Raw genomic sequence first — 22,401 nt, 5'->3', positions numbered from 1 at the left:
TCCAGACCACTCTCCTTCTCCACTACCCTGTGCCATGCAGCCCCCGGGCAGCTGCCGTGATGGAGCATCCCACCCAGGCTGAGAGCCCCACGACTCCAGCGTTCTCACCGGTGCTTGGCGAGGCCCTGGTGCTTAATGGAGGTCCCAGGCCTGGGGCATGCCGCAAATGGGCTTCAAAGAGAGCATCACGGGTCTTCTCAGCACCGCGCTCACCGGAGACAGCAAATTACAAGCTGAAAATTCACTACGTTTGTGAAAACCCTGAATTTATTTAGACAAAAGCAGATGGATAATCTTGTTACATTTCAGCACACCACACTTTATTCAGAGGAAATGAAACAACGCATTACGCGTTCCTTTCTTTCCATCTGCTCTCCCTTCCCTAAGTTCAGGTTTATTATTAATAAAATGAACTTATCCTGCCTCCCTTTCCATTCCATTAGCCTTTACTCCTAATTAAGTTTTGCTCACGTTGTCCTTTTCAGTGTCTCAGCAACTCTTTTTTCAACATAGCTATTTTCCCCCAGACCTCAAATCATTTCTACAGATGAACTGCTGCCACCAGGAATATAAAATGTCTTTATCAAATTATAATTTTTCTCAAATGTTAAGAAATTATCTAGGCCCTTCTGTTCCTCCAAAGCAGGTCTGACTTGAAGGACAGATTCTGCAGAGGATTAGAATCAACTCTTGACTTGAATTTTTGGGAGGAGGAGGCAGGAGTCATCTTCCTCTGATTCCAAGCAGCTTGACCTTGGTTAGTTCACTATTAGCCGGATTATTCACTTTCCCACTGCCCTCCATCCACCACTGGTTTGTTTATTTCCTTTCCCAAAACAAATGTAATGAATGGGTACAGAAAGTGTCTCGAGAAAAACCCACTCTAAAATTAGCTGGGCATGGTGGTGAGCGCCTTTAATCCCAGCTACTCAGGAAGCTGAAGCAGGAAAATCACTTGAACCTGGGAGGTGGTGGTTGCAGTGAGCCGAAATCGCACCACTGCACTCCAGCCTGGGCAACAGAGCTAGACTCTGCCAAAAAAGAAAAAAAAAAAAAGAAAAAAGAAAAACCCACTCAAAAAAAAAAAATGCCAAGGGTGGTGGTGGCTCACACCTGTAATCCCAGGTGCGAGGCTGAGGCAGGAAGATCGCTTGAGCCTAGGAGTTCAAGGCCAGCCTGGGCAATATAGTGAGACCCCCATCTCTAGAAATAAATAAATAAATAAAAGAAACAAATGAAAAGCCCAAGCCTCAGAGACAGTAAAGACAGAAAATATGATTGTCAAAAAAGTGCTGAGATGGATTCAGTGAGTCAAAGACAAGTCACCAGCCCTCCCTAAACTCCAGTCCACGTTCAAACAGGTTGGAATTTGTAGCATTTCTGTTCATAACCACGGCAGCTGGGAAAGCAGATTGTGCATGTGGCATTGTTGTCAACTTCTCTGGCCTGAGGAGTCTGAGTGTAGCTACTGCAATCTCTACCCCAGGCATTTTCCAGACCCCTTGGCACTCTGGTCATTTTCCAGACCCCAGGCAGGCATGACTCAATGCCACTGTCCCTCAGGCCAACATTCCTTTAGGTCATGTATGTGCCTGCCTGGGAGAGGGAATTCTTCCTGGGGTTCGAAAGAGTGTGCTCTGGAATCTTGACTCTTGCAGTCAAATCCCAGCTCTGCCTCCACCTACCAGGGCAGACTTGATCCAGTGAATTTGTGCCTCTGTTTCCTCACCTGTAAAACAGGGCTAAAGATCCAAACCTACTTCATGGAATTACTGCAAAGATTGATGTGAGAAAGTCTGACAAGCACTCAGCACAGGGCCTGGCACATGAGTGTGCAGAAAATATTGACTGTCGTTACTAATGGCAACTGTTGAGACTCTGATACGATTCAGGGAAAACTTCAGGTGTCCTGATTTGACCCCAGCTCATGACGGCATACTTACTTCTGCACCCTAAGATCTAGGAAAGCCACATACAACTCAAGCCACAGTAGCTTACACCAGATATTAAGGAGATCGAAATGTCTCTCGGGTCAGTTCCATAGTCCACTCAACTGAGGAACCGTCATGCTGATGGAGGTTTTCAGGTAAATTTGAGTATTATCATGATTCTTCTCCTGGACACCAAACAAACCACAAAGGAAGTTACTCTTGACTACCTTACTTCAACCCTCCTGGAGTTTATTCATGTTTTCAGTTAGAATTTCTTTCCTGTGGCATTGCATTGCTAATAACGCCAGGTGAGACTGGTGTTAAGCATGGGTCAAGGAAGTCTGCTATTGGTGTTTCGAAAATCAGCAAGTAAAATCCATCCACTGCCCTCCACAATGCTAGGACCCAGATCACAGGGAAGCTGACCTGGCCTCTGGCCTTTCACTCTAATTGACTGTGGGCTTCCCCATGGCTGACCTCTGAAATCACCAAGCTATGGCAACTCGGACACTGAAGCCCTGATTAACGAGCTTTTCTGGAGCGCTTTACCTGTTACCTGTTTTGTACCTTGAGCAAGACACCTCTCTGACCAGGTGCTGTCCTTCCTCAAAGCAGGGGTGGAGCAAGCTGCTCAGGTCAGCCCCTGAGGCTGATACTGCACTCTCAATGAATGGCAGAGTCACTCCTGCCTTTTTCACAGCCTTTGAAAGGTTCTGGAATGAACCCACATAAACTACTGCTTGCAGAACGGATGGGCGAGTTCTTTACGACTCTGCTCCTGGGCTCTTAGTAAGCACACATTTTCCCAAACTTAAATCTTCTAAATTGGAGTTGCCACCTTTAAAGGGTAAGCTGACCCAATGTCCTTGCTGGTCAAAGAAATTTTTTGCAAATGCAGAAAAATACTTAACACTTTCCTTTTCAGACACAGGATGAAAGAGGGCACAAATAGGTCAGAATATTGGCTTAAATCAAATTGTGGGAGCCGTTTGAATTTACTTTTATAGATAGAAAAACTGGAAAACGTCAGTCCCTCCTACTTCCTCCTTCTGCCTATGTCTCTCACTCAGCCATTACATGGATGTGCTCTGGGGCCTCAGAATCTTCCAGGCAGACTGCCCTCCCCACTAAGCAGGCATGATCTGGACACACTGAAGCAGAAAGGCATGCCCCTTCATAAAAGTCTGCCCCCAGTGCAGTGATTAAGGCAGGACAAAATGTCACCGCAGTGTTCCACCAGCACCTATGCCTCTCTGTCCCTAGGCTGTGCACCCACCCAGGCCAGCCGCATCACTTAGGTAACAGCAAATGTGAGCATCGCTGGTTGCTGTGGGAGGTAGAAAGACAGTGAAAGAATACCTCTGACCTGGAAGACTGTGCTGTCTTGGAGGGATCCAGGGTATAGTCCTAGAGAAACAACTTTAGGGCACTAAAGGCAAATAACATAAAATCTAGGGCTCTGGAGCCAGAGTCCCTGAGTTCAAATCCTGTCTGCATAATTGTATGAGCTTAGAGAAACTGCATTCCTTCCCTGTCCCTAAAACCTCATAGGGTAGTTATAAGGAAAATTCTGAATATGAAAAGTATTCAGTACAGTCTTGATTTTTAAAACTCTTATTGAAAAACTCAACCATCTCACATTACTGCCTGCCAACAGCTTTCGCTCCCAGAAGGAAGAAGACCCAACCTCCCTTCATAGGACTGCACAACCTCCCCCTGCCACCTCTGTGGTCTTAGTTCCCCAACTCTCACCCTTGCTCACTCAGCCTCAGTCACGCTGGACTTCTTCTGCTCAAACACACAGGCCTTCCTCCCACGGCAGCACCACCACTCTGTCGGCATCTCCATCCTGAGTGCTCTCATCGCCTCCCCAAGCCCCTCACCACTACCGCTCTTCTCTCGGCTTATTCCCTAACTCTATTCAATGCCGTCTTTTCCGTGACCACTTTTTCTAGAATAAGAATGTACCTTGCTTGCTGGTTTGGACGTGGAGAAAGGGAAACCCTTGTCCACTGTTGGTGGGAATGTAAATCAATATAGCCACTACAGGAAACAGTGTGGAGATTTCTAAAAAAAAAAAAAGCTAAAAACAGAACTACCATACAATCCTACAGTCCTACCACTGTGTATCTATCCAAAGGAAAAAGAATTCAGCGTATTAAAGGGATACCTGCACTCACTTATTTATTTACTTTTTACTTTTTATTGATTTAATTATACTTTAAGTTCTAGGGTACATGTGCACAACGTGCAGGTTTGATACATAGGTATACATGTGCCATGTTGGTTTGCTGCACCCATCAACTCATAATTTACATTAGGTATTTCTTCTAATGCCATCCCTCCCCCAACACCCACCCCCTAGCAGGCACCAGTGTGTGATGTTCCCCGTCCTGTGTCTAAGTGATCTCATTGTTCAGTTCCCACCTATGAGTAAGAACATGCAGTGTTCGGTTTTCTGTCCTTGCGATAGTTTGCTCAGAATGATGGTTTCCAGCTTCATCCATGTCCCTACAAAGAACATGAACTCATCTGTTTTTATGGCTGCATAGTATTCCATGGTGTATATGTGCCACATTTTCTTAATCCAGTCTATCATTATTGGACATTTGGGTTGTTTCCAAGTCTTTGCTATTGTGAATAGTGCCGCAATAAACATACATATGCATGTGTCTTTATAGTAACATGATTTGTAATTCTTTGGGTATATACCCAGTAATGGGATGGCTGGGTCAAATGGTATTTCTAGTTCTAGATCCCTGAGGAATCGCCACACCAACTTCCACAATGGTTGAACTAGTTTACAGTCCCACCAACAGTGTAAAAGTGTTCCTATTTCTCCGCATCCTCTCCAGCATCTGTTGTTTCCTGACTTAATGATTGCCATTCTAACTGCCACAATGAGATGGCATATCATTGTGGTTTTGATTTGCATTTCTCTGATGACCAGTGATGATGAGCATTTTTTCATGTGTATGTTGGCTGCATAGATGTCTTCTTTTGAGAAGTGTCTGTTCATATCCTTTGTCCACTTTTTGATGGGGTTGTTTTTTTTCTTGTAAATTTGTTTGAGTTCTTTGTAGATTCTGGATATTAGCCCTTTGTCAGATGGGTAGATTGCAAAAATTTTCTCCCATTCTGTAGGTTGCCTGTTCATGCTGACGGTAGTTTCTTTTGCTGTGCAGAAGCTCTTTAGTTTAATTAGATTCCATTTATCTATTTTGGCTTTTGTTGCCATTGCTCTTGGTGTTTTAGTCATGAAGTCCTTGCCCATGCCTATGTCCTGAATGGTATTGCCTAGGTTTTCTTCTGGGTTTTTATGGTTTTAGGTCTAACAGGTAAGTCTTTAATCCATCTTGAATTAATTTTTGTATAAGGTGTAGGGAAGGGATCCAGTTTCAGCTTTCTTCCTATGGCTAGCCAGTTTTCCCAGCACCATTTATTAAATAGGAAATCCTAACCCCATTTCTTTTTTTTGTCAGGTTTGTCAAAGATCAGATTGTTTTAGATGTATGGTGTTATTTCTGAGGCCTCTGTTCTGTTCTATTGGACTTTATATCTGTTTTGGTACCAGTACCATGCTGTTTTGGTTACTGTAGCCTTTTGGTATAGTTTGAAGTCAGGTAATGCGATGGTTTGTTCTTTTTGCTTAGGATTGTCTTGGCTATGCAGGCTCTTTTTTGGTTCCATATGAACTTTAAAGTAGCTTTTTCCAATTCTTTGAAAAAAGTCACTAGTAGCTTGAATAGGATGGCATTGAAACTATAAATTACTTTGGGCAGTATGGCCATTTTCATGATATTGATTCTTACCTATCCATGAACATGGAATGTTCTTCCATTTGTTTGTGTCCTCTTTTATTTCATTGAGCAGTGGTTTGTAGTTCTCCTTGAAGAGGTCCTTCACATCCCTTGTAAGTTGGATTCCTAGGTACTTTATTCTCTTTGTAGCAATTGTGAATGGAAGTTCACTCATGATTTGGCTCTGTGTTTGTCTGTTAATGGTGTATAGGAATGCTTGTGATTTTTGCACATTGATTTTGTATCCTGAGACTTTGCTGAAGTTGCTTATCAGCTTAGGGAGATATTGGGCTGAGACAATAGGGTTTTCTAAATATACAATCATGTTATCTGCAAACAGTGACAATTTGACTTCCTCTTTTCCTAACTGAATACCCTTTATTTCTTTCTCTTACCTGATTGCCCTGGCCAGAACTTCCAACACTATGTTGAAAAGGAGTGGTGACAGAGAGCATCCTTGTCTTGTGCTGGTTTTCAAAGGGAATGCTTTCAGTTTTTGCCCACTCAGTATTATGTTGGCTGTGGGTTTGTCATAAATAGCTCTTATTATTTTGAGATATGTTCCATCAATACCTATTTTATTGACAGTTTTTAGCATGAAGGGCTGTTGAATTTTGTCAAAGGACTTTACTGCATCTGTTGAGATAATCATGTGGTTTTTGTCTTTGGTTCTGTTTATGTGATGGATTGCGTTTATTGATTTGCGTATGTTGAACCAGCCTTCCATCCCAGGGATGAAGCCAACTTGATCGTGGTGGACAAGCTTTTTGATATGCTGCTGGATTCAGTTTGCCAGTATTTTATTGAGGATTTTTGCATAGATATTCATCAGGGATATTGGTCTAAAATTGTCCTTTTGTTGTGTCTCTGCCAGGCTTTGGTATCAGGATGATGCTGGCCTCATAAAATGAGTTAGGGAGGATTTCTCTTTTTCTATTGATTGAAGTAGTTTCAGAAGGAATGGTACCAGCTCCTCTTTGTACCCCTGGTAGAATTCAGCTGTGAATCCATCTGGTCCTGGACTTTTTTTGGTTGGTAGGCTATTAATTATTGCCTCAATTTCAGAGCCTGTTATTGGTCTATTCAGAGATTCAACTTCTTCCTGGTTTAGTCTTGGGAGGGTGTATATATCCACGAATTTATCCATTTCTTCTAGATTTTCTAGTTTATTTGCATAGAGGTGTTTATAGTATTCTCTGATGGTAGTTTGTATTTCTGTGGGATTGGTGATTATATCCCCTTTATCATTTTTTTTTTTTGAGATGGAGTCTCACTCTGTTGCCCGGGCTGGAGTGCAGTGGCATGATCTCGGCTCACTGCAAGCTGCGCCTCCTGGGTTCACGCAATTCTCCTGCCTCAGCCTCCCGAGTAGCTGGGACTACAGCTAATATTTTGTATTTTTAGTAGAGACAGGGTTTCACCATGTTAGCCAGGATGGTCTCGATCTCCTGACCTCATGATCCGCCCACTTCAGCCTCCCAAAGTGCTGGGATTACAGGTGTGAGCCACCGTGCCTGGCCCTACCATTTTTTATTGCATCTATTTGATTCTTTTCTCTTTTTCCTTTATTAGTATTGTTAGTGGTCTATCAGTTTTGTTGATCTTTTCAAAAAACCAGCTCCTGGATTCATGGATTTTTTTGATGGGTTTTTTATGTCTCTGTCTCTTTCTGTTCTGCTCTGATCTTAGTTATTTTTTGCCTTCTGCTAGCTTTTGAATGTGTTTGCTCTTGCTTCTCTAGTTCTTTTAATTGTGATGTTAAGGTGTTGATTTTAGATCTTTCCTGCTTTCTCTTGTGGACATTTAGTGCTACAAATTTCTCTCTACACACTGCTTTAAATGTGTCCCAGAGATTCTGGTATATTGTGTCTTTGTTCTCATTGGTTTCAAAGAACATCTTTATTTCTGCCTTCATTTCGTTATGTACCCAGTAGTTATTCAGAAGCAGGTTGTTCAGTTTCCATGTAGTTGTGTGGTTTTGAGTGAGTTTCTTAATACAGAGTTCTAATTTGATTGCACTGTGGACTGAGAGTTTGTTGTGATTTCTGTTCTTTTACATTTGCTGAGGAGTGTTTTACTTCCAATTATGTGGTCAATTTTAGAATAAGTGCGATGTGGTGCTGAGAAACGTGTATATTCTGTTGATCTGGGGTGTATAGTTCTGTAGATGTCTATTAGGTCTGCTTGTTGCAGAGGTGAGTTCAGGTCCTGGATATCCTTGCTAACCTTTTGTCTCATTGATCTGTCTAATACTGATGTGGGGTGTTAAAGTCTCCCATTATTATTGTGTGGGTGTCTAAGTCTCTTTGTAGGTCTCTAAGGACTTGCTTTATGAATCTGGGTGCTCCTGTATTGGGTGCATATATATTTAGGATAGTTACCTCTTCTTGTAGAATTGATCCCTTTACCATTATGTAATGGCCTTCTTTGTCTCTTTTGATCTTTGTTGGTTTAAAGTCTATTTTTTCAGAGACTAGGATTGCAACCCCTGCTTTTCTCTGCTTTCCATTTCCTTGGTAGATCTTCCTCCATCCCTTTATTTTGAGCCTATGTGTGTCTCTGCATGTGAGATGGGTCTCTTGAATACAGCACACTGATGGGTCTTGACTCTTTATCCTATTTGCCAGTGTGTCTTTTAATTGGAGCATTTAGCCCATTTACACTTAAGGTTAATACTGTTTTGTGTGAATTTGATTCTGTCATTATGATGTTTGCTGGTTATTTTGCCTGTTAATTGATGCAGTTTCTTCCTAGCATTGATGGTCTTTACAATTTGGCATGTTTTTGCAGTGGCTGGTACCAGTTGTTTCTTTCCATGTTTAGTGCTTCCTTCAGGGGCTCTTTTAGGGCAGGCCTGGTGGTGACAAAATCTCTCAGCATTTACTTGTCTGTAAAGGATTTTATTTCTCCTTCACTTATGAAGCTTAGTTTGGCTGGATATGAAATTCTGGGTTGAAAATTCTTTCCTTCAAGAATGTTGAATATTGGCCCCCACTCTCTTCTGGTTTGTAGGATTTCTGCTGAGAGATCCGCTGTTAGTCAGATGGGCTTTCCTTTGTGGGTAACCCAACCTTTCTCTCTGGCTGCCCTTAACACTTTTTCCTTCATTTCAACCTTAGTGAATCTGACAATTACATGTCTTGGGGTTGCTCTTCTCGAGGAGTATCTTTGTAGTGTTCTCTGTATTTCCTGAATTTGAATGTTGACTTGCCTTGCTAGGTTGGGGAAGCTCTCTTGGATAACATCCTGCAGAGTGTTTTCCAACTTGGTTCCATTCTCCCCATCACTTTCAGGTACACCAATCAAATGTAGATTTGGTCTTTTCACATAGTCCCATATTTCTTGGAGGCTTTGTTCTTTTCTTTTTACTCTTTTTTCTCCAACCTTGTCTTCTCACTTTATTTTATTAATTTGATCTTCAATCGCTGATACCCTTTGTTCCACTTTATTGAATCGGCTATTGAAACTTGTGCATGCATCACGTAGTTCTCATGCCACGGTTTTCAGCTGCATCAGATCATTTAAGGTCTTCTCTACACTGTTTATTCTAGTTAGCCATTCGTCTGACCTTTTTTCAAGGTTTTTAGCTTCCTTGCAGTGGGTTCGAACGTGCTCCTTTAGCTTGGGGAAGTTTGTTATTACCAACCTTCTGAAGCCTACTTCTGTCAACTTGTCAAAGTCATTCTCTTTCCAGCTTTGTTCCGTTGCTGGTAAGGAGCTGCATTCCTTTGGATGATAAGAGGCATTCTTATTTTTAGAATTTTCAGCTTTTCTGCTCTGGTTTCTCCTCATCTTTGTGTTTTTATCTACCTTTGGTCTTTGATGTTGGTGACCTACCAATGGTGTTTTGGTGTAGATGACCTTTTTGTTGATGTTGATGCTATTCCTTTCTCTTTGTTAGTTTTCCTTCTAACAGTCAGGTCCCTCAGCTGCAGGTCTGTTGGAGTTTGCTGGAGTTGCACTCCAGGCCCTGTTTGCCTGGTTATCACCAGCAGAGGCTGCAGAACAACAAATATCTCAGAACAGCAAATATTGCTGCCTGATCCTTCCTCTGGAAGCTTCGTCCCAGTGGGGTGACCACCTATATGAGTTGTCTGTTGGCCCCTACTGGGAGGTGTCTCCCAGTTAGGCTACACAGGAGTCAGGGACCCACTTGAGGAGGCAGTCTGTCTGTTCTCAGTGTGCAAACACTGTGCTGGGAGAACCACTGCTCTCTTCAGAGCTGTCAGACAGAGACGTTTAAGTCTGCAGAAGTTTTCTGCTGCCTTTTGTTCAGCTATGCCCCGCCCACAGAGGTGGAGTCTAGAGGCAGTAGGCCTTGTGGAGCTGCAGTGGGCTGCACCCAGTTCGAGCTTCCCAGACACTTTATTTACCTACTCAAGCCTCAGCAATGGCGGACGCCCCTCCCCCAGCCAGGCTGCTGCCTCACAGATCAATCTCAGACTGCTGCACTAGCAGTGAGCAGGACTCCATGGGCTTGGGACCAGCAGAGTCAGGCACAGGAGAGAATCACCTTGTCTGCTGGTTGCTAAGACCTTGGGAAAAGTGCAGTATTTGGGCAGGAGTGCCCCATTTTTCCAGGCAGTCTGTCATGGCTTCCCTTGGCTAGGAAAGGGAATTCCCTGACCTGTTGTGCTTCCCCAGTGAGGCGACGCCCCACCCTGCTTCCGCCAGCCCTCCATGGGCTGCACCCACTGTCCAACAAGTCCCAGTGAGATGAACCAGGTACCTCAGTTGGAAATGCAGAAATCACCCGTCTTCTGCATTGATCATGCTGGGAGCTGCAGACTGGAGCTGTTCCTATTCAGCCATCTTCCATTTTAGTGTCTGCACTCAAGTATTTATTACAGCACTACTCACAATAGTAAAGCTGTGGAATCAATTTAAATATCCATCAGCAAAGAAATGAATAAAGAAAACCTGGTATACCTACACAATTAAATACAATTCATCCATAAAATAGAAGAAAATCATGTCATTTGCAGCAACATGAATAGAACTGGGGGTCATTATATTAAGTAACATAAGCCAGACACAGAATGACAAATTTTCATGTTCTAACTCACATGTGGGAGCTAAAAATGTTGATATCGTGGAGGTGAAAAGTAGAATAATAGATACCAGAGGCTGGGAAAAATGTCGGGGGCAGAGGGTATGAAGAGAGACTGGCCAATGGTTACAAACATACAGTTAGGCAGAAGTGCTAACTGGGCAACACAGTGAGACTTTGTCAAAAAACAAAACAAAACAAAAAACCATACTCCCTTCCCTCTCTTCAGAACACAAGTTGGCTTCTAGCCATATCTGTGTCTTCCAAATTGCAGTTCTTAAGACTCCAATAAACACCTTCTTATATTGGATTGCAGTCTGGTCTTTTACCTCTTTTGAGTTGACAATTACTATGTGGCAGGTGGCTCAGGTGCCCCTCTTCCTATTGCCCAGCCCCAGTTATTTGCCTCTTGCTGGCTGGATCTCACCTCAAGCACTCATAGACTTTTCTTTCTGCCCCAGGGTCTTCTCTAATGTCCTAGGATTCCACTACCTCTGAACCCATGTGTCACCCTTGAATGTGAGGTTAATGTTCCCACAGGAAACCTACAACCAATGGAGGTGTTGCGAAAGCCATTGCTTCTTCCCTCTGTGCTTCAGGCAGACTGCCCTTCGAGGCCTTCTGCAGGCTTCCCCAGAGCAGTGGGATCCAGGCCCTAGGGCCCACAGCAGTAGCCTCAGTTTTGCATCCTTACAGAGGTTTCTTCTCATCCCTGTCTCCCTCTCCCCAGCCTCTCACATCTGCTCCCTGGGATCAATTCCCAGATAAAGCCCTTCCTCCACCAAGTCTTGCCTTAGGCTCTGCTTCTGGGGAAAAACTGGATGCTGAGTTCCAAAGTGGCCTGAGGAAGTGGGGTCACAGAGCTGTGACCCGGGTGGATAAACCAAGAGGCTTCCTGGAGGAAGTGAGCTCTCAATTGCATTTCAGAGGAGAGGTATGAGAAAAGTCCTTCTGGGCTGTGATTCCTAAAGAGCAAAAAAGCTGAGTCCACAGTGTCACAGTCTCACTGTGGGAAGATAGTGACAGTGGCCCCAGGTTTCTGGCTTCTTCATCCTCAGCTCTTCTTCAGAGAGACAGGATTTATAAGAATGCTTTTGCCTTCCTAATGAAAATCTAGCCTTTGAAGTCTTATTAACTCTAATGGGGAAAAAAAACCTCAATTTCATTTTTTCCGGCGGTAAGAGCAGCGATATTAAATGATCCAATTTACCCATTTTGAATACCACTCTGGTCGCTAATGAAGATGCATCTGCGACATAATGTGTGGTTCACACACAGGGCGTTGCTACTCAGATGAACACTGTGCAGATGGTTTCATGCAATAGGAAAACATCGCATGCAAATTTAATTTTTGTGAATCAAATGCTGCTTTCTTCTGGACTCACACGATAGTTAGAGAATCACAGTTTCTGTTGGTCAGGGCCTCGGCAGACAGTTCCCCTGTACTTCCCTCCCCACTGCCAGGTGGCCGATGGCCCATAGGTAAATAGGTGGACAAGGGAGGGCTCCTTGTGCTGGAGCCATGCAGCACAAGCTCTGGGAAAGCACAAGTTGTTAGTAGTGTGTAAGTAATTGCTAAATGTATTAATAATCACAAATAGGCTACCTGCTCTGCTGGTAGTATGTCATCACAACTGTCCTATGAGGTAGGCATACTATTATTTTCATTTTCATAACTGGGAAACCTAAGGCTGAGAGGCTAAGTGAATTGCCTGGGGTCACACAACTACCACAGCCACCCACTTTGCCTTAACTCTACACTCCTTTCCAGGAGGAGGAATTAAAATCCAAACCTGAGTCCTATGATTCCAAAACCTATGTTTTTGCTGCTATGTCATAGAGTTACACAAGCTTCACAAATGATATTATACACTTTTATCTGCTTATACGGATAGACAGTAGTGCCCCTTTATCTGTGATTTCGCTTTCCACAGTAACCCATGCTCAGCCACAGTCTGAAAATATTAAATGGCAAATTTCAGATATAAACAATTCATCAGTTTCAAATTGCTCAGTGTTCTGGGTAGCGTGATAAAATCTAGCACCATGCCACTCAGCCCCACCTGGGATAAGTACCATCCCTTTGTCCAGGATATCCACACCATGTAAGCTACCCACCTTATACAATGTGATTGTATGGGAAAAACACAAGCTATGTAGGGTTCAGTACTATCCCGTGCCCCAGATGATAATGATTGAAATTGACAGATTATTCCATTAAGTGTAATCTTCAAATTGAGGTTTTCAGGAATAGCATGCAAGAAGACAGTATGTTAAAGATTTATTGTGCTTATGAACTATTTTTGTACAATTATTATTCTTATTATTTGAGATAGAGTCTCACTCTGTCACCCAGGCTGGAATGCAGTGGCGCAATCTCAGCTCACTGCAACCTCCACCTCCAAGGTTCAAGCTATTCTCCAGCCTCAGCCTCCCGAGTAGCTAGGATTACAGGCAAGTGCCACCACGCCCCACTAATTTTCGTATTTTTTAGTAGAGACGGGGTTTCATCATGTTGGCCAGGCTGGTCTCAAACTCCTGACCCCAGGTGATCCACCCACCCCACATTGGCCTCCCAGAGGTCTGGGATTACAGGCCTCAGACACCACGCCCGGCCTGTGCAATTATTCATCAGCTACCTTGGTAGTTCTAGCTGTGGTTTCAGGCATCCACTACTGAGGGTCTTGGAACGAATCCCCCAGGGAGAAGGGGGCACTGATGTGTACAGTAGTGGCTGTGTTAGTTGATGCTCAGGGCATATTAAAATGTTAGAAAAATTTCTTCACTGAATTCTTCTATCTGACCTAGTGCCCATCACAAGTGAGATTTATGACCTATGTTCTCTATGCTCCTTTTCTTCCACTCATCCTGGAGACATGGTAGATTAAGATGGAAATAATGATATAGGCAGAATTTCGAGAGAAAAACTCATTCCGCAAGAGCTGGGGGGTTATGCCAAAAAGTTAACCATTGGGGACACTACCTTCTCAGAGAAAATCCATTATTCCAAGAGCAAGGCCCGAGGAATGATATGGCTTCTTGAACTCAGGCCCTGTGCATTTGGCCCTGCTTTAGACAAACTTGTCCTCATGAGCCATCAGCTGCCTTGGTGCTTCCAGCTTCCATGGCAGCTTGGCACGTATTCCTCTCAAATTCATCATTTATGTAATAAATCCCAAATGAGCTCCATTTCAAATGTGAATACATGAGGTGAACAAATTAATGATGAAAATTCATCTCTGAATATATTTATTTGTAATGATACATAAAGTCTGGTGTTTAAAAGAAACAATTCTCTAAGCAAAAAGGTACCCTTCACAATGTGAATTGTCGGAAGGCTAACTCCAAAGCAGAAGCAGCGCAGTATTTTCCTGCATATTAAATGCACAATCAAAGAACCATCTGCCCCAGATGATAATGATTGAAATCGACAGACAATTCCATTAAGTATAATCTTCAAATTGAGACTTTCAAGAACAGCATGCAAAAAGATGGTATGTGAAAGATTTATTATGCTTACGAACCATTTTTGTACGATTATTCAGAACAGACTGGGAGTAAATTATTTTATAAAATGTACTTGAAAATGAGTGTGTACATTTAGACCTTTAAAGCGTAATCATTTACTAAAGAGCTTCTAGCAACCTGCCCTTTTATTTGGCATACAGTTTGTGTTTTAAAATGTCAGCTAAGTATTTCTTTGTTTAGGGATTTTTTTCAAGCATTTCTATAAGAAATGGAAAACAAAATGTGACTGCGAATTCAGTAAAATTACATCCGGAGGGACAGTGAACACTCTGGGTGTGCTGTCCCCATTTTATAAATGGTGCTCGATGAAACAATGGAGGAGGTTGGTGTATTTTAAATATGGATGAGAAATAAGTAAGACAGGCACTAATGTCTTTATAGATTATTTATGCTGCCCTAATCTCACGCTTTCAGAAACTTTTAGCCACACTCTTACACCATAATTCAAGCTAAACTTCATTATCTTTCATATCTGTTCTCCTAGCCATCTTTCTTATGCCTTTATTTCTTCAAGCAATTCAGACACTTCGCATTACCTCCTTCACTCCCTCACTTTGATCTTGTAGGACTTCAGGGTAATGCAGCGTATTTCTCCTTCCTCTGAGAAGCCAGCCCCAGAATATTTGGATTTTATATGCACAATTATACCCTCGAATCTGGTCCACCTGCCTGTCTTCTCTTTTTGATAGCATGTTCTTTTTCATGGGGGAAGACCAAGGCAAAGGGGAGAGAAGGGCTACATGGTATTTCTGCTGTTATGGCCAAGAAATATTTCAGAGTCTCTTGTTCTCTGTCCCATCCCCTTCTCGTGAATTCTCAGGGAAAGGAGGAAGAGTTCTTACAAGTCTAGCTTTTGGCAAACCTTTTGGAGGCTTACCACTGGCTACAAAATAAATTCTGCTAGAATGAAATATCAGCCTAACTAAGAGAGAATGAAGAGGTAAAGCGAATTAGGAGTTGTTGTACCATCAGAGACAGACATGAAGAAGGAGCCAGATTATTAATATTTTTTGTTTAATATTTAACAAACCAAGGCTCTACCCCTGCCAAAATTACTCCCCAAGTGTAAATCCGGCCCAGATGGAATGGGAGGTTTCTTTTCCCCACTGCAACATCTGATTTTTATTATTCTCTTTGCCACTCAAGAAATTGTCATGCACTCCAAATTTACTCTCTTCTCTATCTATTCTAGTATACCAAAACTCATCCTGTCCTTTACTTTGCCCTTGGGTTAAATATATTTCCAGTCCTTGAATGAATGAGTTCAAAGTATTTGCCACAGAGCTCACAAGTCTCCTGCTGTTTTCTCCTCCTTTGTCTAATGGTGACTTCAGATGCAGGGAAAGAACAGGGGTTTGTGACCAAATCAGAAAGCACTAATGAAAGCAATGCAGAGATCAGTTGGGGAAACCGAGGCCCAGAGAAAAGGCAGCTAAGCCAAGGTCACATAGTCAGCATGCAGCAGATCTAGGGTCAGCCAATGTGAGGTGGAGATACATGAACTCTGAGGGCTGGCTACCAGGAATCCCAGCCTGGTTCTACTACTTGCTAGCTGAGTATCCTCTTAGAGCCTCAGTTTTCCCACCTACAAATTGGGGTTATTAATTGATACTTGTTGTGATAATTCTATGGGTAATATAGGAATAGTTCAACTAGTTATAGTTAGGCTCAATAACTGAGACCACGCACATTAAACTAACAAAAGACAGATTAGCAAGAGAAAAAGTAGGTGGATTATATTGATATTAATATTTTTATGTTTATAGGTACCTCTCATAGAAAAGGAAGTGATAATCCAAAGATGTAGTTAGGCCTGAGAGCTTACATACCATTTTAACAAAGAGTGATAAATGTGTGGAGAAGTGACTGGACAAAGGAAAAGAGTTTGGGTTTTTAGGGGTGGTAAATTCTGGAAAGGTCATTATACAGGGAAAACTAAAGGAAGAAAAGGATTATTTCAGTAAGGTTTGTTTGTGCAGATTCAAGTCAGTGCCATCTCCCATGATAAGAGTCTTCTATTTTTGGTATGGGAGAAATGTGGGGGACACCTTCACAAATGGAAATTTATGCCCTGCATGTAGGCAGAAAGGAGGAGGATAGAGAGCTTTGTTTGCATCTGCTGTTTTTGAATTGCCTTCAGCTCAAAATAATCTTCATGCTCAAGTGGCATATTTGGGGGTTGCATACTCTGAACCCCTTTGCAGTGTTAATGATTATACTAACAGAGTGATTAATTACAGAGTGATTATTCACCCAATAAAAGAATCTCCTCTTTACCCAAATGTTGCTACTATGGAACTCAATTTTCCTTTCTACCACCCTAAGATTTAGTGTGCCCACTTACTATTCTGTCTCTAAAATTTTTATTCTCCCTATTCAAATTTGAGAATAAATGTTAATGAAGCAATCTGCCACTCCTTCTGCCCAAAGTGTTCTCAAAGACATTAAATAATATTCCCTGTTGCCCTTGGTGATTGGCCACATAACTAAAAATAAAAGGGAGGGGGCAGAGAAGGGTCAAAGAAGGAAGGAAAGGGAAAATGCACATAGTAGGAAAGGAAGGGCACAGGAAGGTAGAGGAAAAGGAAAATAGTGCCCTGTATGATCAAACAGAATTCCCATCTGTATAGAACTTTTCAAAAACCATTTAATCCAACCCTTCTTATTACGTTTGGAGACACTGAGGCACAGAGAGAGATGGGTCTCCATAGTGGAAGAGACAGGTTATGAACCCAGGATCCACTTTCTCAAATTTTCCTCTGCCTAGAATGCCTTTCATTCTGAACCACTGTCCCAATACCACCCTCTGCCGAGTTAATGTCTATTAATTTTGAAATCTCAGCTCAAACATACTTTCTGACAAGTCTTCCCTAACCTATCCCCTTCGTATCTGATCCAGGTTCCCCTAATGCACTCTCAGAGCACCTGCCAAGGTGTTTCTTCCCCAGTTCCCCATTCTCCACCCACCACCCCGGGCACATAATCGGCACCCCATAAACTCATGAGTCAATTAGTGAGGTGCAGACACGAAGCATGTGCTCTATGTGGGATGCCTTTCACTATAGCAAAGAAACATCTCCATACAATTCATTCATAAAGCAAGGGACAGAAATAGCTTCCATTCATGCATCTTTCAATAGGGAGATTCACACAGGATTCATTAAAGGAAACTTTTAATTGTGGTGTTTACTCCTGCAGAGTCAATGTAGCTCTTTCTCTCTAGTCAGCTCCTTCTTTCAAGGCAAGCCCTGCTAGAGAGGACAAGAACTAATAAGCAAATTCCATGAATTGTTCTAGTGCTTTATTTTTTTCCTAACTCTTGCTCTTATCACCCCAGACATACTTTATGTGGAACAAATTGGTTAAAACATAAAGTGAAAATTCACTTTCTCTTAGGCTCTGCACTGTGTCGTTATTGGGATATAAAAAGATCCATGTGGCTTAACTAAATCCAAAAAAAAAAAATCCATCTCACACTGTCTTATCTTCAGCTCTAAAGTTTAAGCTCCTTGCTGAGAAACGTGAAGCAAGATAACTGACATTAATTGAGTTCCTACTATACTCCAAGCACTCGGCAAAGAAATCTTCATCATTTATTCATTCAGGAAATACTTGGGTACCAGGCACTGTTCCAGGAACTGGGGAGACAGCAATGGAAAAATAATAACTCCTGTTATCATGGAGTTTTGTTGTTGTTGCTTGTTTGTTTTTAAGACAGGGTCACCCAGACTGGAGTGCAGTAGAGCAATCATGGATCACTGCAGCCTCAAACTCTTAGACTCAAATGATCCTCCCATCTCAGCCTCCCGAGTAGCTGGGACTACAGGCACAATCGCATGTCTCGCCTTTTTTTTTTTTTCATAGAGATGAGGTTTCTTTATGGTGTCCAGACTGGTCTCAAAACACCTGTCTTCAAATGATTCTCCCTCCTTGACCTCTCAAAGTGCTGGGATTACAGGTACAAGCCACTGTGCCCCGCCTTCATCAGAGTTTTCAGACAGACAGGAAGCAAATAGACATATCACGTAACGTCAGATAGGAATTATGGCTATAAAGAGAAAGAAAGTAGGTTAAAGAATTCGGAGTGATGGGAGATATTTCAGGCTGGAGGGCAGGAAAGAACTCTTGCGGAGATGCCTCTGGAGGAGAGACTTGATTAATGTGAGCAAAAGGCTTGTGATTATTGGAAGCAAAACTGTTCCAGCCAGAGGAAGCAGCCAGCACAAAGGTCCTGAGGCAGGAAGATGCTTGGGAGGCTGGAGATGCAGGGAGGAGGCCAGCACACTGGGAGCACACAGAGCAAGGCAGCAAAAACCAGACAGATGGACAGAGAGGCAGACAAAGGTCAGATCGTGTAGCAGCACAAAGAATTTCAAACTCTATTCCCAATTTCCTAACAACCCTTTGAAGGGTTTTGACTGAGGGCATGCGGCGATCTGACTTTCTTTATACATGGTTGTGTCTTATTTAGTCTTCAAAACTATCTTATGAGATAAGCAGCATTAACCTCACTTTACAGATGTAGGAAGTGGGAATGAGGGAGATTAAACATCTTGTCCCAGTTTATGCTGCTGGTAAATGGTAGATTTGTAATTCCAATTTAAAGTGGTGTGATTCCAAACCCCAGGCTCTTCACATCACCCCATGCCATCTGAGGACAGGAACTGTGTCTTGCATGACCCTGAAACATGATCAGAGTACCCAGCACGTGGCCACTGCCTGGTAAGTATTTTCTAAATGAATACGTAAGACTCAACTCAAACTCTGCCACATTCCTGCAATGCCTGGGCGTTTGGGTCATTGACATGGCAAATATAGAGAGTACAGGGATTTTTACAATCCAAAAGAGAATGGCAAAGAATTAAGATGTTTTGATCTGTGCTCTATTTTGGGCAATAATTACCCTTCCATGGAAAAACATAATTTTTTTTCAGTGATTCCATTTTTTACCCCACTTGATACATTATCTCTTCTACATAAAGAGTTCTGTGTGCACACACATGTCAACGCTGAAACAGACAATCATCTTGCCCTTTCTAATAGTCTAAGGGTCTGTTGGAAATGACATGCACTACAATTTAGCTGAGTGTTGAGTTTGCTCCTAAAGGCTATTCACATGCATATATCACGTCAAGAAGAGTAAACGTGAATGGATCCTATGCCTGTTCTCCTTCCTACACTCAAGTAACCCACCATGTAGCAGCTCCTTTTTTTCACCCTTTCCCAGGGGTAAACTGAAAGACAAAAGACCATTTTCAGGTGAGTACCTATTATATACCCCTCTACTGACTCACAGTTCCCCACTGAATACCCCGAGGCTACTCCCTCGCAGCCATTCATACAATAAAGATGACTAAAGAAAGGAATTTGCATGTGCCAGCCTCTCCTCCCTGCTGAATGCGCTGGTGAGCAGAGCCTCAAGCCTGCCCTAGCTCACAGGAGCCTCTCAGGTTCCTCGGGTGGAAGAGGCCAGGCACATTCTCACGCAAATATGAAATAGAAGAAAGGCACTGAAGGAAGCAAACTAGAGGTTCTAAGAGCTTTCCAGCCTGACCTCTTCTGGGGTGGAGGCACAGAGGCTTCTCTGATGACTGGTGACACAGGATGGGTGGACATTGAGGAGATGAAGAGGGGAAAGGAGCAGCATTCTAGGCTCGGAGCTTTCTCGGGGCTCTGAAAAGCACAGAATCAAAGGGTGCAGAAGGCTAGCGTGATGGGTCACAGGGTCAGGGAGGGGGCTGCGGGTGGGAGGCAGGGACTTTTAGGTTATGATCCTAACATCTCCTTTACGCCCCCAATACTCACAATACTGGGTGTTGACTCAGCCTCCATAGGAGATATCACAATGAGTGAGTGAAAACAGGCTCAGGAAATCCTCAGAGCTCCCAGGGTGTCTAGACACAGGGATTCTATAATCCTGTCAGGAAAGTGGGTGGGAGAGGGATTTGCAAAGAAAACCATTAACATCACTTCCCCAGGGCGAGGAACTCCATGTGAGGCTCTGGGGGAACCTGACTATGTGCAGTCGTTTACAGCCTGGGTCTCCTGGAGCCTATGAAATGAGAAGCAGTCATTAGCACAGCAAGCGGCCCTCATCCTTCCTTCTCAATAATAACACTGTCACCAGAGGATGGAAAATTACCCTGACGTCTCTGTATCTCCAAATTGCACTTCAGAGACAGACTGCGTAAGGCAAACAGACCCTGAGTGAAAACCTCCTGGCTAGACTTCCAAGCCAAGGCCTAATAAATAACCCTGAAATATACAAAGTGATGGCAGCTTTGCTCTGTGGCTCGTGGCTTCTGCCCTGGGAAGGACCATGAATTTCAGCGTCTGACAGATGGGGTCAGAAAGTGGAGTCTGCCTGGTGGGTTGAGGATCTGCAAATTAACCCCATGGTGGTGGTTTCAGAACAAGTGTGCCTGCTCACGCAAAGACTAACCTCTAAGAAAGGAGCAGGCCCGGAGGTGAGGCCCCCTGGGCGTGAAAGAATCAACCCCAGTCCACAAAGTCCGGAGATGAGACATCCTGCCTGGAGGAGGGAGCCCTGTGCATCGCAGGATCAAAGAAGCCAAACAGGATCTTTAGTGGTGACCGAAAATGCTCATGAGGAGAAAGGCTGCATGGCATTAAGTGAACCCCATTGAAAGGTACAAAATTTTCATAGTCTGTATTTTTCTTTCTCTGTCAAAAACACCACGATTTGCCAAAGCACTTTAGCAATCATTTGTAAATTGGTCCGCCAGGGTCTCCATGAGAATGTTAAATGACAACAAGAAGAAATCAATATCTCATCGCTGACGCGGGGCTGGGCATTCAAGTGAAATACAAGATTCAAAGTACTGATAGAAGGATGCAAAGATGTTGATCTCCTGGGAAGAAAAAAGTTAAAAAAAGGTGACAAATGCCAAGCTAGAGAGACTCATCTAAATAGCTAATGCAAATAAATCCAACATAGACAGCTATAGATGTTGAAGCTTTTTTTTAAATTAGATTTCTTCAGGGATTACTGATAAGCATCACATCAAAAAAGATGATCAAGAATAAATTGGTTCTCAAGCAATGCCTGCAAAAAAATTGTGATGTGAAAATAAACAAAATATTCCTAATGTGAATAATTTAAAAATATAAACAACTTTGGAAATAGGAAATTTACAGAGTTTACTACAAAATCTGTATCCTAGAAGAGGTATTGCATTTAGAGGTAGGAGGCTGCATATAGGAAACCAATAATTGTTAGCATTTATCAAGTATTAGTTATATGCCAGGTACATAACTAATAAGTGACTTTTTGTAAGTAGGTGGGATTTTTGTGAACACTCAGTGAGCTCTACGGAGTATGTACATTTATAACCCTTATTTTGTAGATGAGGAAATTATGGCACAGAGAGGTTAACTATCTTATCCAAGATCACACAGCAAATCAGATCTAGGATTCCTGTCTCAGTTCCAGAGTTGTTGCTATTTGACTCTACTTTTTACAGGTGTCTATCCATTTGGCTTAGGAGAAAGGGAGTTTAAGGAGGACTAGCTACAGGTTCTCACTAGAACAAGAAAGAAATAGCTTAAGAGCTTTATCCAAATAAACTTTTTTTTCTGGGAAGAGAGAAGGTAGGCATCATTTTGGGTGTGGCCATCACCAAGGCTGAGTTTTGTTTTTGTTTTTGTTTTTGTTTTTCCCTTGATGCCTTTTCAGAGGCTTTAAGGTTCTGGCTGGAACTTCAAAGAGAATCCTGGGTTTTCTCTAAATACAGTTATATTTAGCAAAATAAATAAATAAACATGAATTGGGGAACAAGAGTCAGAACAATCACTTTCACATGTTTATCTCAAGTTGCTATAGGAAAAGAAAATTTAGCAAAGTAGTCATTTGAAATATTTTAAAATAATTACACAGCAACAAGCCAGAAAGCCAAAACATTTTCTTCTTTTTCAAGATATTCTGACTCCTTTTGCATTTCTACCTCTTGGAATAACAAACCATCCTCTCTTTTTATTTCTTTTCTGTTTTGGAAAAGCTGCAAAAACACCTCTCAAACTCATGCAAATTATCAGTGTGTCCTGAAATATTTTCCTGAAACATTGCAAAGGC

At 42.5% G+C, this 22,401-nt stretch overlaps 2 long non-coding RNA genes across 2 annotated transcripts in view, besides 5 other annotated features; one reads left to right on the top strand and one right to left on the bottom strand.

The window, feature by feature from the left end:
• The window catches only part of LINC02133 (long intergenic non-protein coding RNA 2133), a 49,851-nt gene that overhangs the window by 1,032 nt on the left and 26,418 nt on the right, over positions 1–22,401 (bottom strand). Inside the window, exon 5 of the long non-coding RNA NR_110650.1 lies at positions 109–261. This is a non-coding gene — a long non-coding RNA (long intergenic non-protein coding RNA 2133). The remainder of the gene's footprint in view (positions 1–108; positions 262–22,401) is intronic.
• Positions 2,973–3,474: an enhancer, noted in NCBI's record as "H3K4me1 hESC enhancer chr16:47937837-47938338 (GRCh37/hg19 assembly coordinates)". NCBI's record gives its function as "activates a minimal SCP1, AML or CMV promoter by ChIP-STARR-seq in primed H9 embryonic stem cells {active_cell/tissue: H9 hESC(primed)}" and the evidence as "EXISTENCE:reporter gene assay evidence [ECO:0000049][PMID:30033119]".
• Positions 18,158–18,971: an enhancer, noted in NCBI's record as "NANOG-H3K27ac hESC enhancer chr16:47922340-47923153 (GRCh37/hg19 assembly coordinates)". NCBI's record gives its function as "activates a minimal SCP1, AML or CMV promoter by ChIP-STARR-seq in naive and primed H9 embryonic stem cells {active_cell/tissue: H9 hESC(naive and primed)}" and the evidence as "EXISTENCE:reporter gene assay evidence [ECO:0000049][PMID:30033119]".
• Positions 18,972–19,786: an enhancer, noted in NCBI's record as "NANOG-H3K27ac hESC enhancer chr16:47921525-47922339 (GRCh37/hg19 assembly coordinates)". NCBI's record gives its function as "activates a minimal SCP1, AML or CMV promoter by ChIP-STARR-seq in naive H9 embryonic stem cells {active_cell/tissue: H9 hESC(naive)}" and the evidence as "EXISTENCE:reporter gene assay evidence [ECO:0000049][PMID:30033119]".
• Positions 18,972–20,526: a biological region, named in NCBI's record as "BRD4-independent group 4 enhancer GRCh37_chr16:47920785-47921984".
• Positions 19,327–20,526: an enhancer, noted in NCBI's record as "BRD4-independent group 4 enhancer chr16:47920785-47921984 (GRCh37/hg19 assembly coordinates)". NCBI's record gives its function as "activates an origin of replication core promoter dependent on BRD2, P300/CBP, MED14 and CDK7 cofactors, and independent of BRD4, by STARR-seq in HCT116 cells {active_cell/tissue: HCT116}" and the evidence as "EXISTENCE:reporter gene assay evidence [ECO:0000049][PMID:35650434]".
• The window catches only part of LINC02192 (long intergenic non-protein coding RNA 2192), a 37,817-nt gene continuing 35,685 nt past the window's right edge, over positions 20,270–22,401 (top strand). The window contains exon 1 of the long non-coding RNA NR_110649.1: positions 20,270–20,959. This is a non-coding gene — a long non-coding RNA (long intergenic non-protein coding RNA 2192). The remainder of the gene's footprint in view (positions 20,960–22,401) is intronic.

Source organism: Homo sapiens, chromosome 16 (assembly GCF_000001405.40).
Source record: "Homo sapiens chromosome 16, GRCh38.p14 Primary Assembly".
In the NCBI taxonomy this organism is placed as follows: domain Eukaryota; kingdom Metazoa; phylum Chordata; class Mammalia; order Primates; family Hominidae; genus Homo; species Homo sapiens.
Note: the sequence above shows the minus strand (reverse complement) of the source record. Positions and strands in the feature narration are given on the sequence as shown.